The following is a 16,663-nucleotide window of genomic DNA, read 5'->3' as shown; positions in this document are numbered from 1 at the left end:
GATACAAGTTACTTTTTTTTTTTCCTTGAACACTTAGAGGTCAGTAGGCTCATTAATTGGCCTAATTTCAATATTGTTGTGTCTCAGGGATTAGGGAGGCCCAAGAAGAGGAAGAGACATGAAGAAATGGCTGGTTGACGGAGCAATCACAACACCTACACCATTTATTAAGTTAGCTGTGTGGGCATGGTTCATGGCATCCCAAAACAATTACAATAGTAATTTCAAAGATCACTGGTCACAGATAACCATAACAGGTATAATGATCACAAAAGAGCTTGAAATATTGCAAAGATTACTAAAATATGACACAGATATACAAATTGGGCATATTATTGGAAAAATGGTGCTGATAGACTTGATTAACAAAGGGTTGCCACAAAACTTTGATCTGTGAAAAAAACTACAATTTCTGCAAAGCACAATACAGTGTAAAAACCCCGAGATGTGCCGTATTTAAAATCTCTCCATGAATAAAACACAAGACCCAGAGGATTACATACTGAGGTCATATCATTTTTGTCCCCATCAGAATTGCTTTCAGTGAATGTTACTTTGGCATAATGCTATTAACTTACATTGAGGAATATTATTAAAAACAGCCAGTGAACCAAGCTGTAGTATTTCCTCTAGCGGTGCCTTTCCAGATACTATTTGCTGCATTTTGTACAGTTACAACATGAGAGCACAAGAACTATATTTTTTTTCTGTAGACTCAGTACAGGAGTAATTGTAAGTCATTTTTATCTTGAGAATCCTCATATGTATGCAACTGACCATGTTTTCTTATTGCACAGACTTCCAGAAAGTTCTTAGTTGAGGTACATTATTTACATATTTACAGCATCAATTTTGTATAGTAACAATTCCCACCTCTATGCTATCTTTTTTGTTCCCATTTTTTCTATTTTATTCCAAGATTTTAAAAAGCAACGGAATTTTCTCTGCCGCAAGAAACTAAAAGCATTTCTGCTTTATGTACATACTGTACATTAAATTCAATAAAATTATCTAATACAAAGTTATTTTTTCCAGATCTTGGATTTATTTTTAATACCCACATTTACATATTTTAAATGGATTAAAGCAGGTGAATGTATTAATGATTAGAGATAATTATATTAATTTGGATTCTTAATTGTGATAGAAACTTAATCTAGCCAACTTTGAAAAGAAAGGTAAGAGTAGTAGCAGTTGACAATCACGTAATCTAAAGGAAGGTTGTTGTTATTTGAAAATTGACAAACTAAACCAGCAACGAAACAGGATCTACAATAGTGATTTTTATACCAAACAGTCTGCCATTGAATCACATGGTCTTCAAATTTGATTTCCATCCTTTGCTCAAATTTCAAAGCTCTAGAGGAACGCATTTGACTGGCCAATCTTGAGTCACCTGTTCACTCCTTAGCTGTACTAGGGTGGTGGACTGAAGTATTCTGCCACTTCAGCTTCAGTAGTAGGAGGCAAACCCTGGTTTCAACATTTCACTAAGACCGCACACAGAAAGAGAGTGGAAATCTTCTGGAAAGAAATGGATATGCTCATAAGAAGGAGGAATAGATGCTAGGAGGACTGAAAAAAAGAAGACAAATGTTCTTCCTCCCTTCCATCATGAGAGTCAGCAGCGGAGGTTGAAAGGACAAGAGCAAAAGAGAAAAGAATGCTATGTTCTCCTCTCTGCAAAACAGGGACTTTGTATACTGAAAAATTGTATTTATGGAAGCAGAGAGATGACGTGGGAAGAGCACGCAGCTTGGAGTCAGAAGCTATAGGTTTAAATTCTGGCTCTGCCTTTTATAAAATATGTGACTTGGAGGTAACTATTCTCTCTGACCCTTAGCTCCAAAATGTACAGAATGGAAACAATATTCACTTTACAGGCTTGTTGTAAGCATTCAATAAAATTATGTAAACAAAATAAACATAAGCTGCTTTCATTCCCTGCCACACATTTGACATTTATTTTTGCTCAAGATGGAAATTCATATATATATACACACACACACACACACACACACACACACACATACAGATTGTCCTTTGCTCATGAACTTTGAACTTACCAATGTTCACAAATAAGTGGCAGAATTAAAACCTGTGCAACCTGCCTATCACCAATAGAGGGCATTAGCAGTCACACCTGGTCACTTTTGATATTTGCTATTTCTAGTGTATAGTTTTATTCTTATTTTTGATATTTTACAAAAAGTATTAATTTCATTATGTACAATGAGTATAAAACTGTGAAGACCGAATTGTTGATACCTATAGAGTATGACAGGAAATCCTATCTCCATCTTTTCTTAGTTTAAATTCTCCAAAATTATCTGTAAATATAACAATATTTAGATAACACTTATACTTCTTCTAGCTTCCTACCTAAAAGTGGAGATTTTATTCTTTAAAACTGTTGGATCCCAGTTTCAGTGTCACCACTTCAGGGATTCGATATATGCTGGATTCTCTGTTGTCAATTTGTCCTGATTGCCAGCTTCTTCTTAGATATTTCTGCATATCAAGGAAGAAGCTGGGAACTACATTTTCCAGATTCCCCTTCTCCACCTGGTTTCAAGTTAGAGTCAGCTAATGAGAGACACTTGCATGAAATCTAGAAAGTGAAAGACAAGGATAGACCATTAATTCACAGAAACAGATTTGGACAGATATGTGTGCTGGTGTCAGAGGTAACGTTTGAAGCAAATTTCAGGTTAATTTCTTAAGAACTAGCTGCTTAGGTGCTGCAGGATAGGGTTGCTGGTAATAGCCTTCCTAATTTTTGTTCCCTGGGTGCTTCCAGTCATGGCATAATTCTTTATTTCTTCTAATTTTACATTCAAATATAAACCTGTATATTTGAAATACATGGAGGTTTTTCTTGATGCCTGACTGCAAAGAAAGTTTCCCATTCAATTAAATGGAGGAGCTGACTGTTGATCTGAGTCTGTTGTATAATTTCACAAGTGGAAAACCATACTAAACAAAAAAGAAACAAGCAAACAAAAATTGCTGCCAAACCTAACTATATCAACCTCTGCTCCAATTCTGTTTCTGATGTAGTAAGTCAGGGTGGGACCTAAGAATATGCATTTTACTCATCTCCCCCAGATGATTCTGCTGTAAGTGGCCTAAGATTACAACTGAAGCAAAAACAATGTAAGACTTTGGGCTCTATTAAAATTCAACTATTTCCATAATATTGTATGCATTTTCATTCATTTATTCCTACAAGTGACTGAAGTGGGTCCTTTGAACAGGTTAACAAGAGACTGCAAGGAGGAGGCACGTGTGCTGGGGAACCTTCATGGGAAGATACATTTTAAAAGAAGCTGAGAATTCCAAATACAGACTTGACTCTTTAATCATTCTTTTTCTGTGGCAAACTGGGAGGAAAAGAAGTTGGAAAACTAGTTGCAAGAAACATGAAACGAATATAAATAACAGCTTGGGAACTTCTAGAAGTCTTTGAATTAAACTCAGGGAAAGTAGATGCCTCAACCTACTGCCATATATCAGTGCCCATTGGTTCATTGGAAAGAGATACTTCCAATTACAAAAAATACTCTGGCGTGACAATCACAAAACCTTGATGGCATACAACAATAAATGTTAATTTTGGCTTATGGGTCCACACATGGGCTAGGAGGTTCTGCTGATTTAAGCAAAACTCAACTGATCTTGGCTGGCCAGGCTTAGACATCTGGGTCAGCTGGTGGATTGGCTCAGGGTTGGCTGGTCAAGGAGGATCTCAGCTCTCTGGGCTCTGCTCCTCACGGCTTCTCATCCTCTAGTACTCCAGCAGGGCTTATTTTCTTTGTTGAGGTGGGGATCTGAGGGAGAGTGGTAGTACATAGAAACTTCAGAGGGCTCTGATCAGAACTGGCACACCAGCATTTCCGTCACATTCTTTAAACCAAATCAAGTCACTAAACCAGCTCAGATTATAGGATGAGGAAATACCCTCCTTGTTGGGAGATGTTGCAAATACCTTACAAAAGGCATGGATACAGGGAAGAATTTGGGTTATTTTTGCAATCAATATACCGTAGTCCAGATGGGATCACATCCTGACAGGCGAAAGAATGTCTTGTCTATACTATTGTCCTTCTCTGCTTTTCATGTTACATTTCACTGCCAGTAATCTAGAAAAAATAAATTTTGCCAGGTGTGTGACCACAATTCAATGAAATGATTTTCCTGTTCAGATAATAAAGAGATGAGAGAGAGCTGTATAATGGCACTCCAAGTCCTCTGCAATATCTAGGGAAAGAAAAAGCATCATCACACTTCCCACATAGGTATAAGCGTCAAGTTGGCAATAGCTACAAATACTATCCTCTGCCAAAAATTCAAGTCAGTTTCCTGGTATCTGTAGTGTTCCTTATCAACACCTAACAGGAAAGAGAACAAGCTTTGTTTTGTTTTTCCCTAAGTTTCAACTTAAAAGGCAAACCTTATTGTCTCACATAAAATACAAGGGTAAAAAAAAAAAAAATAGGAAAGAAAAAGGAAAGAAGAGTAGGAGCGAACGCCTCCCCAGATTGATAAAAAGGAAACTTATGATTATGCCCAAGTTAGTGGGTTCCTGTTCATATGGCAGGTTGGCCTTTAAAATCATTTGCAGGCCCCTATGAGCCAAGTTAATTTTTTTTTAATTTCAAGGAAATGAAAAGAATGTAGGTGATCTACGGTAAATTTTATAAACAAGTTTAGTGAAACGTTCTTGCCTTCTAAAGCATCAAGAAAGTCTTCAGAGGTCTTGGCTTATACAGCAAAGGGTTACTAACAAGGCTCACATGTTTCTCTTTCAGCTTTAGTCTTTTTCTACATAATACAAATTCAGTTTGTATTTTCTTTAAAAAAATTTTTGTAATGAACTTTCCTCTCCTAAACTTTAGCATTGATCTGGAAATATAATGCATGCTAAACTAACTCAGGATTTATTTTTAAAATCATGACAATATCCATAACTAGGTTGTGTATACCCAATGTCCATAGCAGCAAAACATTTAAAAATATGTCTCTGCTACTATCAATGGTAAATCCTTCCACTTACTCAGTCTTCCTCTTTTATTCTGACTTTTATTATATCCTCCTATGTATGGTATTATTGACTTGTTCTTTTAACTTGGTAAATTAAACAAAGAAAGATATTGACTAGCATGTAATGAGCCACGGTAACAGAAATTATATCTTTGATTCTTCTTTTTACACTATTTCTCCCTGTCTCTGGATTCCCTCACACTCATCCCAAGTTCTCGGTCTATTCTTCATCCTGATATTTTTGTTTCTCATAAGATTTAAAAATAATATTAAGAAGAAAAAAGCATCACACAATGTGACATGTAATTGATAAAGCTTAATAAATGCCATCTATACTGACTGTTTATATGCTAAGAGTACAAAAAAATCTTTGTAGAAAAAAAATAGTAAAATTGCTATTATTCAGAAAAGCCTTGCCAGGTTTTTAGCCACTTTCATACGGTGCCATGTTTTAAAAATATGAAAAATGCTTATGTTGCCCCCTCTTCCACATTGCTAGCCACTCTCAATATTTGATTATTTGGCATAAAATACATAGAGAGATTAATAGTCACTTTATATGGTTCCTCTCTTGTCCTCCCCTATCCCTACCTGTAGAGAAGAATAGAATAAGAGGAATTGGTCTCAGTTTTCATTTAGCTATGTAATATTTCAAATTAATAAATATCCTACTTCATGGATCCAAAGCAGTTCATAAAATAAAGGTGTATCTCATAATCAATGACATGTTAGATTCAATAAAATATATAGTACTAAGCATATCATTTCCCATTCTCTTTTGTCTCCACCAGTATTCCCCCAGTGATGTGAACTGTGAAGCAAGATTTCTCGTATCAGACCAAGGGGCTATGTAAACAGATTGTGTGCACTGACTTAAAAAGAACGTATGGTTAAAAAAAGATACAGGACCATTTAAGTTATGTATAAATAAACAAGTTAGCTTTTATTTAAATAATAAATTTGCTTGGAATCTAACATGTGATTCTTTAATAAGACCGAGCTCGGTTAAGACATAGTCTTGGAATGTTTCTCTGAGTTATATGTTTATAAGAGGCACTGGAACAGCAATTCAGCCTGTACCTCCAATACAGTGTTACTTCCCTAATATTTGGAAAACTTCAGGGTAAAAGATGAATTATTCTGGGTAATAATGTCCCGTAAATATTATTGTAGTATCAACTACAAGTAAACAGATTTTGGCTCCATATCCATATAAAACATTCCACCTCAGTATAGAGTAATCTTGTGAAACTCTGTGTGGTCCTTATCCCCGCAGGCATTTGAAGCAGAAGCTGTCTGTACTTCTGTCAGGATTATAATAAGCTGATTCTTAATTGGGTGATAAAGGAAGGACTCTGAAAAAACTGTCCCTTCCAAACTTGGAGTCAAAGATCTTATGGTATGACTGTACATAAGGCTCATACACTCTATATTTTGAAAGCCAGTCCTAGCTACAAAAAGTATGTATTTGTAATTTCATGAAAACTAAGAAAACACAATGAACATTCCTTTTTAATATCTATGATATTATTCTACTTTCTATTCAAAAGTGGCCTTATTTTTCCCTCTTTCAACCCATGCTTTGTGCTCTGTTTTAAAAAGTTGACTACCGAAGATGAATCTAAACATAGCTTTAGGTTACTCTTTGGAAACTGCTGACTTCACTAAAACAAAAATAAAAGTAAAAACTATAAGTCCTGAAATAGTAGCAACTATTGTTCAGAATATTGCCTTCGTATCATTGGAGAAAAATTTAAAGTGCATATTACTCTGAAAAGAACTGGTAATATCGAGATACACAAGAGTGTAACTCTAGTGGGTAATAAAATTATTCCAAATCCTGACATGCATTTACTGCCTTATTCACAGTTTTCCTATTTCATTTTATACAATATAACACATGAATGGAGCTCTTACAAATCCTTCTTTTCTGGCTTCTATCCTGTTTTGTAATCTCATAGACTCCTTCCCCTGACTCCATGCCTTTAGTTCCTTGTTTACTGTATTTATCAATTGTACAGAAATACAAACCTCTGAAACCAGATTTGCTCTCAAGAATTCTGTCATATCGAACACACTGATTGCTACACATTCAGTTTTTGACCTGACATATTTAAATAGAAACCCAATCCTGTGCAGTATGGGAGAAAGTCACTGGACAAAGAACTACTGATCATGTCCACGCCTTAAAGTGTCTTCCCCAGAAATTAAGGGGATATGCAAATCTGAATAGGAGAACTGAATCACACTGGCCAAGCTTGGGCAAGACTAGTGTATGTGCTCTAATGTGACTGTATGTATGTTGCCATACATAGCTGTAACCTAAATCCCTGCAAAACAGGCTAGGACATACTGTTCCCTAGAGAATGACCAAAAGGACAAAATATCTATTTGGCATGTTTTGGCTTATTTGTTTTTGACAGAATATATAACAAATCTGTAATAAATCAACAAACCTATAATATAGGTATAACAAATCTGTAACAAATGTAATCAGCTTATTTCATGAATCTCTAGGTCCACTTTACTTGCCTCCTTTTTTCCCAGACTTTTTACTGCTTTTCCAACATCCACATTGAATCTGATTAATTACAGAGTTCTTTCTAGGCCATCTAAGCTTAAATTTCTCTAATTGCAGAAAAAAGCAGTGAAGTGCATTAACAAGCAGATGCAAACAGCCGAATTCAACTAAATTCCACTCCCCAAATCCTACACCAACCACCAATTAGTTCATCCTAAAACTAACTTCTCTACCTTTAAAACAAGTTCTTTAGAATCAGAATGATTTTTCATCAGCCTTGAACCACAAGTATGTACAGGAGGGTTTACAAACCTGTCTTGAAAATCAAACATAGGATACCCACTTGCTTCTGAGTACCTTTAGGAAGTTATCAGATGACTATAAAGCCAAATAAAGCATAACAGATGTCCTAATTCAGCTAAAATCATGACTCTGATAGGCCCAAGCTAAGGAATTGGAAGGTGTTCTGTCTTCCAAAGTCTTTTTATTGTCTCTGATTGAATTAAGGACTGAAACCAAACAAAAACAAAGTAATGACTGTCCCTAACGAAGAGGAACCTGGGTTTCCACTAGGATTGAGCTATGGCAAATAAAGCTGTTTAAGTACAGCTGTACATACAACCCTGTACATACATCTCCTGTACATACAACCCTCCTGGACTATTCAGGGAGATCTTCAAGAAAGAGCTTGCTTCAGGGACAAAGGATCACAGCACAGGAATCCCACTCAGCAACATGGTCTACTGACTGGAGACCAGTGTGAATTGTGGAGTGTGGGAGTTGAATATAAAACTCTCCCCACCCTGTTATCCTTCCGCTTGTGTGGAGTTGCCAGACTTCAAGGTAGTGTGTTGCTTGAATAATGAGAATATCATTGGTGACAGTGACAGCATAAAGACTGAAAGCATTTTTCTCAACGCTCTATACTTCCACATTTTTCTGTGACTCTAGGAGTAAATGCTAGCCTCCAAAATGACTAGTGCTGCCATCCCTGACCAGCTGTTGACATGTTGACCCCAAGTCTACTATAATGTGACTTAAAAGATAAATAAATGTAGCATTGGTTATGTTGTAAGGTTGAGAAATAAGACTCTTGTTATGGTTCTAATACTCTGAGGTCAAGGAATTCTCCTATGAAACTCTCTTAACCATGCATCATAAAGGAAAGGAATATTACTCCCTTGAATTTGCATTGAAATGTCCTGAGTCCTGAAAAAATAGTAATAGTTGTTTTAGAGAAGTTAGCAGACTATGGCCCTTAGGCCATACCCAGCCTTCCACCTGTTTTTGTAACAAACAAATAAAACAAAAAACAAAAATCCCCAAGTTTTATTGGAACACAGCCTCGCTCATTTGTTTACTGACTGCCTATGGATGCTCTGGTGCTACAACAGCAGAGCTGAGTAGTGATAGAGATGGTATGGCCCATAATCTAAAATATTTACTCTGAAGCTCTTTCCAGAAAATTTTACCAACTTCTGTTCTAAAAGTAGGGCACACAACTCAAACCCCTGGAAGCAGAGTGGGTGACACAGAAGCAGCTGCCAGCCAGCAGGGCTGTCTGAGTCTGCAGCTTAAGAGTCTAGGCTTGGCGAGCATCAGTCCCAACAACAGCAGCCAATCTTATCCAGATACAGCATCTATTTGCCCTCCGATCATCTGTCACTCTCCATCAGCTATACCCTGTATTGCAGCATCATGCGTTCCCCCTTGTCAGTTCCTATGTCAGCTGGCTTCCAGTTGAATAAAGACAATAAAAAGTATGTGGGGAAAAAATGGAAGAAGAGAAAGAAATCTAAGTATTTCTTGACCTTTTCTCTGCTTTTGGCAGCTTCTTGTGCAGAGATTGTACCTCTTCCATGAATCCATTCCCTGATAGATTCACCTTCTGCGATTTCAACCTCCACCTTATAACCATGATTCCAAATTCTGATTATATCATTTCCTCCTTGTCCTTCCAGTTTAGGGGCACAATGACTTGCTGCTATTGCTAATCTTAAGGGTTTTTCAGGATCCCCTGTTGGAATTCTCAGTACTTACATCACTTAAGTTACTACCTCCCTACATTAAATTCCCTTTGTGGTAAATAATTGAGGTGATTTCTACTTTTCTAGTACGAAAGGGTCACTGGTATCTCAGATGAGAGGAAGCAAAGCAGTTCTGCTTAAGTGGCCCCTTTGTGCTCTAGGGGCTACTAGCAGCTTCAAGGATCAGGCTCCGCTACCAGGGATTGTGAACAATAACCAGGCTTAGTTTGGAATGCAGTTAAATCACATCTTGAGGATTCTCTGAAGCACTTATGTAGTAATAAAATTCTTACAGGAGCAGGTGAGAGCTTGGCATCGGTGAAATTCAGGCACAGATGTTAATGTGACTTCAGTTATCATTGAGGAGTGGTAAGGAATAGGACATTCAAGTTCCAAAAAGGATTCCATTTTTAACTATAGTGCTATTGATTTGTCATTGTGTGTAATGCCATTCAACATTTTCCTTAAACACTAATTGACAGAGTTATAATTTCTTCTAACAAAAGAAGAAATTGATGAGATTTCAATCTGATGGTTTTAATTACTGTCATTAAAGACACACATGAGCTTTCAGACTTAAACGCCCTCTCCCAGTTCTACTCTGGTAAATTCTTTGGGAGTTACAGAAGCCACTATAATTCAGACTCATAGTTTGATAGGAAAAGTCAGCCCTAGTTAAATGCCATCAATAGCTAACGCAGTTTGGACAGTTTAATTATGTACTTGTCTGAACACTTGTCACACTTCTGGTGACTTCAAAGCAATGTAGTCTTCAGCACTAAAATTTGCAGTGTTTTATAATCAAACTTATTAGTGCTTCTTCACATTACAAGACTATACGAGATATGAAGAGGTTAAGTAACTTGACCAAGACTATCCTGAACTGACAAGAAAAAATCGAGAGCTGAAACAATTAGCTAAGTGGTTCAAGCAAGATTAACAATCCATCTTTTTTTAGGGGGTGCTAGGAGTTTAAATTACTAAACTAAGTATCTGATAATTACCTAAACTCTCAGATCTCAGATTAAAATCATCGTCCAAATTCAGCATCACAATACTTAGTGAATTTCTTAGTGCTGTGTTTTTTATAGAAATTATGAACCCTTTGTTTCATATTTAAAAATTCTGTCACTGTTTTTGAAGTGTTACATATTTATATCGCCACCTGGTGGATTGATTTGTAATGAAGGCAGGCATATGGCTTGGGGTGGAAAAGGTGAGAACAAATCATCCTGGAGCCATTCACCCTTTTAAAGACACCTTTTCTCTCAGGTGCCTCACCTCTAACGCTGTACTTGAAAATTTTGTTCTGAATATAAACAGCCAGAGAAGGAAATTCAGAATCATGTTATTAACAGACATGTTTTGCCTCCTCAAGGAGAAACAGATCAATGAAGTTCCCAGTGGCCAGGAAAACATGAATATATGTTAAAGTCATTAATGGCTGTGTTGCTTCTGTTTAGCAGTAAGGTATAATGACACAACTGATTTGCTTTTTCCTCATTATGTGGTGTTAAAAAGGAGAATAATTATGACAGGGAAGATAGGGATGGCTGTATTTTTAAAATTAAAAGTAATGGATAAATTTAGTGTAAAATTTATCTTTTTCTAGAAATAATAAATTTTGTAGAAAATTAGACAGTTCTCTTATGAGATATATCTGCTATGCCCTTAGAGATTAATTGGGACTCTGTTTCTGTGTGTTTATTCTCATCTATAACCACTTTAGGACACAGCTGCCGTTACTTAAACAAGTTAATTGTGTTGGTCTGTTTCCACATTAAGACAATTTTCCAGGGTCATTTCTGCAGGATTTTTTTGAAATGTAATATTCCTTGTATGTCCAGGGTACTAAGAGTTCATGCCTTTGTCTTTGGAGACAATGGTGTCCTTGCAACTGACAAAGCTTCTTTTCAAAGGAATAAGCTTATTTATGTTGAATCAGCCTCTTTACTTCTATACGACTCCTTTAGGTTTGTGATAAGAGTGACTAGCAGAAAGAATAACTGAAGACATCCTTTATATCATTCAAACTTTTTTCTAGCATTTATGAAAACTAATAAGAAACCAAATCCTCAACACTTACAATTGTTGGAATATTCTGGTTAGTAAACCATTTTATCTTAAAAATGAATTAATATTCATAAGATATTTTACTCATTAAACTGGTATTTTACATAAATCTTTTCTTACTTTTTTTACTCATTTTCTAATTATTATTAATTAATTGGTTAAGCAAATTAAGAAGTCAAGAAGTACCCAGTGATTACAAATTATATAAAATATTAAATATCTAAAATTAGTTTCGACCCTAGGCAAACATTTCAGACCCAGTATATTTTCTTCATTGTCTTAGCATAAAACAAATACAAAAAGTCTCTATTTGTATTTGCAACTACTGGATAGGTGAATGACACTTTAAAACTCTAGGGATCTGACAATGAATGCATTGATACACACCAAATAAGATATATTACAAATTTTGGTCTCATCCATAAAGACATACATTGGGTAATCCAACCCTTATTATTCAGAGTAAAAGCAGTACTTTGGAACTTTTAAAAGAAGACACACACATGTGCGTGCACACACACATACGCATACACACAAACACACACACACATATCTGTTATGTAGGATTTGGGGCATTTAAAAGAAGCTTTATGTACATAAAAATTCATTAATCTTTCTGGTCTTTTCAGTTGGCTTTGGAATATATATGTGTGTGTGTCTCTTTATATATATTATTCAATGCTTACATAGTTATAGATATTACTAGTATTTTAGCTCAGTATCCAATACTATATTTGGCACCCTGTTAGTTGCACTCTGGTGATATTGTTGTCCCTTTGCATCTTTGATCCTTTCCTTTAATTTTACCCTACATGTTACAAGAAATTATAGATCTGTATAATTTAGAAGGTCAAAAATTTCAAAAAGGTTTTCTTTTAAACAAAAAATAACAGTCCAAACTTTCTTTCCCCTATTTCCCAGCCCTCAGAAACAACTACTTTGATCTTTTGCCGATGATTATTTTACTTGTTACATTAATGCCTTTAAATAAGGTGGAGTGCATATCCCACTATGGAAGTGAGAAATCTGTTTTCTTTCCTTTCCTCACTTTATCTACAGCCTGAACTTCCTTTCTATATCTCTTCAGAGAGAGATTACTGATTGCCTTATTTTTTTATTAGCTTAGTTTTCCATTCTTTTTAAAAACATATTCAACCTCAATGCTTTTACCTCATTGCCTATATATTCTCTCAAAACATCCAAAGACTGCAGGTATTCTACCAGTGAATCTTCCTGAAGAATTCTCTCCTGGAAGCTTCTGATCTGCTTCAGTCTGAACTTGTTGCCTCTGTGCTTGGTATAGAGCTGGCATCTTTATGATCTTTGTTGGTTATATCATCTTTGTGGGTTTGGATCTTGTACTTTCCCTAATTCGTGCTCACTTCTCTTCTGGATCACTCTTTTATATGGTGGAACATGTTCTGAGAAAGGGTATAAGGAGGTAAAATTTTGAGACCTTGCCTGATGAAATATCTTTGTTGTCCTTTCATTCTTAATAGTTTGGTTACATAGATAATTCAAGTTAGGAAATTACTTCCCCTCAGAATATTGAGAGCCTTCCTCCACCACTTTCTAGTTTCCACTGTTCTTGTTGAGGGGTTCAAAGATATTATGATTCTTACTCTTTTGTAAGTAACTATTATTTTTTTCTTTCTATAAACTTCTAGGGAGCTTGTCTTGAATTCTCTGGATTTATATGACAATAGGTTTGTTGCATGTCTATTTTAATCTATTTGGTGGATATTCACTGAGCTCTTTCAATCTGAAAACTTCCTTCTCTTCTGAAAAACTTTTCTGGAATGAGTTCATTGATTTCCCTCCTCATCTCCCTTTTCTCTTTTGTTTGTTTGAGACGGAGTCTCACTCTGTCACCCAGGCTAGAGTACAGTGGCACAATCTTGGCTCACTGCAACCTCCGACTCCCGGGTTCAGGCGATTCTCATGCCTCAGTCTCCTGAGTAGCTGGGATTACAGGTGCATGCCACCACACCCGGCTAATTTTTGTATTTTTAGTAGAGACAAGGTTTCACCATGTTGGCCAGGCTGGTTTCAAACTCCTGACCTCAAGTGATCCACCCGCCTCGGCCTCCCAAAATGCTAGGGTTACAGGCGCGAGCCACGTGCCTGGCTCCCATTTTCTCTAAAATTCTTATGCCTTGATATTAGACTTCCTGGATTGATAGGTTAATTTATGTTTCCTCTCCCGAGTACATTCGAGACAAGCTTTTGAAAAATGTTGTCTTTCCCTGCATACTTCCCATTTTCTTTTCTTTTCCTTTTCCTCTATTTTTAATGTTAGAGGATTTCCTCAAGTACCCAGTAGTCATGGGTTTTCTGCTTATATTTAACACCTGGACACCAACAATTGATTCGAAGCTCATAACTGGATCTTTCAAATGTATACTTTGCTGTAGGATGCCTTGGGTGAGCCTTTTAGCTGAGGAAATTTGAGGTCAAAACCTGGTTGATTTCCCAAAAAGGTATCTCCAGTTCTTTTGCCCAGAGGGTAGACTGGTACCTGTGTTCTGTGGGTTAAGGGGAAAGGAGGACTGGGGACTATTAGCACCCAGTATACATACACTTCCTAATGCCTAGTTTCCCTTTCATACCTTTGATCTCAACTCCATCAGGTGTTTTGCAGACACAGGAACAGACATTTTACTCTTTCCAGAGAATAAACCAGTCTTTTATTGCAATAAAGGAGGAAAATATCCTACTGTAAGAAAAAATGGAAGGGTATCTTACTTGTCTTTTAATGCAGTTCCCATTTTCACTTTTGGAAGTACTGATAGGGCAATCCTCTCATTGAGAGATGAAGCTTCTGTTCTTCCTTCTGAATCTGAGTGAATTTGCTACCGATTTTTACCTGTAGAATACAGCAGATCTCATGTTAAGTGATATCAAAAACTAGGTCATAAAGGGCCAGGCAACTTCCATTTTTCTGGCTGGGAATACTCACTCTTGGTGTCCTGAATCATCATAGAAAAAGCTCAACTGCCTTGAACACCCTAGTTACTCTAGTCAACAATCCATGATGAACCTGTTTTTTTTCTAATCTAGCCCAGTCATTAGACTGTAAGTGGAGAAGTAATCCTTAAAGTAGTTTCACCAGCTGTCTTAATCTGTTTGGGCTATTTTAAGAAAAATATAGACTGGGTGCATTATAAACAACAGAAATTTATTTCTCACACTTCTGGAGACTAGGAAGTCCAACATCGAGGTGATGGCAGGTATAGTGTCTGATGAGGCCCCACTTTCTAGATCACAGATGGCCATCTTGTGTTTTTACCTATCAGAAGGAGGCAAACGGAGCTTTTGGGGCCATCTTTTATCAGACACTAATCCCTTTTATTAGGGCTCCACCCTCATGATCTAATAACTTCCCCAAAGTCATACCTCCAAATACTATCACACTGGGGAATAGGTTTTAGAATATGAATTTCTGGAGGGATGCTAACATTCAGCCTATTGCACCAGCCCTTGCTGTTCTAGCCCCCTGCCATTCATTTCAACCCCATTTTGCTCCTAGACATCATAACATAGAGAACAGCAACCCTCATTGTGCACTTTTTGAATTACCAATCTACAGAATTTGTGAACGTAATAAAATGGTTATTTTTTTTTAACACTACTAAGTTTTGGGATAGTTTGCTATGCAGCAATAGATAACCTGTACACCTGATAATGCTGATTCATGAGCCATTTAGGATTCTGATTCAAGTCAGGTTAGTTCTGGGATTTCTTCTCCACAGGCTTAAGATTGTTTATTCCAATCTGTTAGGTCCTTCGTTACTAGTAAAACTATGGTTTCTATAATCTCTTTTCCTGCATTCCCAGTTTTTCTACATGTAGGCCTTAGACAAATAAATCCCTTTCATTTCACATTCAAGGAATGCATAGTAGGTACATACATTCTAGCCACCTTTACCTGAAAGCCTATTGTTATTTGTAAACACCTAATCTTGTTCATATATCCTCCATTGAACTCCATATAGAATGATTATCATGAGGTGAGGTTTATTATGTTTTGTTAGTGGTGTTGAACACATCCGGGCTAAAGAAACTTTCCACATTCCTGGTGGGTATTGCTGCTGGTGATCCTGATATTCCTTTGTTTACTGCTGTGAATAGCCCAGGATTTCTTCATTTGAACTCTGTCTGATATTTAGAGATTTTTTTTTTTTGCCTCACAGAACTATTTTAATTTCTAAATAACCCACTGAAAAATGTAACCAATAACAATGTCATTGAAGTATGTGCCTCTGCAGCAACTCTTTTTCTATAAGAAGTTAAAACACCTCAAGTGGTGTACATATTGATTTCATTTTAGCAGTCGTGTAAAGCGAAAACTTGAAAGCAGTGTGGAGATGCCACCTCACCATTGTTTAGAACTTCCATGAGACCTTGTTTTCTTGGGTAAGTCTTAACACTTCAGCCTAATAGCTAAGCCCACTCATCAGATTTGACCTGAAATTGTATTTACTTCCTACTGGTCCAGTGGTGTCTTTTCAACAGTGCCTCGTGTAAGACAGTCTTTTGATCATCTTTTGAATCCAGCTCAAGTTTTATTTCTTCAAAGAAACCTTATACAGTGGAATGAAAAGAGAGCTGTACTCATCTCAGAAGAGCTACATTCATATACCAGCTCCTTCTCTAAAGTCTTGGTTCGTTTCCTCAGAAGTTTGCGGTAATTTGTTATAATCTCTAAATACAGTGTTCCTCATCTCTCCTCTATAAATGAAAATAATAATACTTTCTCAATGTTTTCCTGGGACTGTTAGAAAAGGTAACGATGTTAAAATATTTGTACACAATTGTAATGAGCTAATGAAAGCAATAAACCACAGGGACAATTACCAACAGCAATTGCCTAGAGTCTTGTACTTCACATATCTAATGCGTATCTGGCTCAATTTTATGTTTTCACCCTTGTTTTACTTTCTTCCTCAATGAATTTACATGAACATGCTTTATGTGTTTCTGGAAGAGTTTTGATTAA

General features: G+C 36.5%; 1 long non-coding RNA gene across 1 annotated transcript in view; it reads right to left on the bottom strand.

Moving 5' to 3' along the window:
* Positions 1-16,663, bottom strand: part of LOC107985978 (uncharacterized) — a 77,592-nt gene that overhangs the window by 2,068 nt on the left and 58,861 nt on the right. The window contains exon 3 of the long non-coding RNA XR_001739867.1: positions 14,410-14,530. This is a non-coding gene — a long non-coding RNA (uncharacterized LOC107985978). The remainder of the gene's footprint in view (positions 1-14,409; positions 14,531-16,663) is intronic.

Source organism: Homo sapiens, chromosome 2 (assembly GCF_000001405.40).
Source record: "Homo sapiens chromosome 2, GRCh38.p14 Primary Assembly".
Classification (NCBI taxonomy): Eukaryota; Metazoa; Chordata; class Mammalia; order Primates; family Hominidae; genus Homo; species Homo sapiens.
Note: the sequence above shows the minus strand (reverse complement) of the source record. Positions and strands in the feature narration are given on the sequence as shown.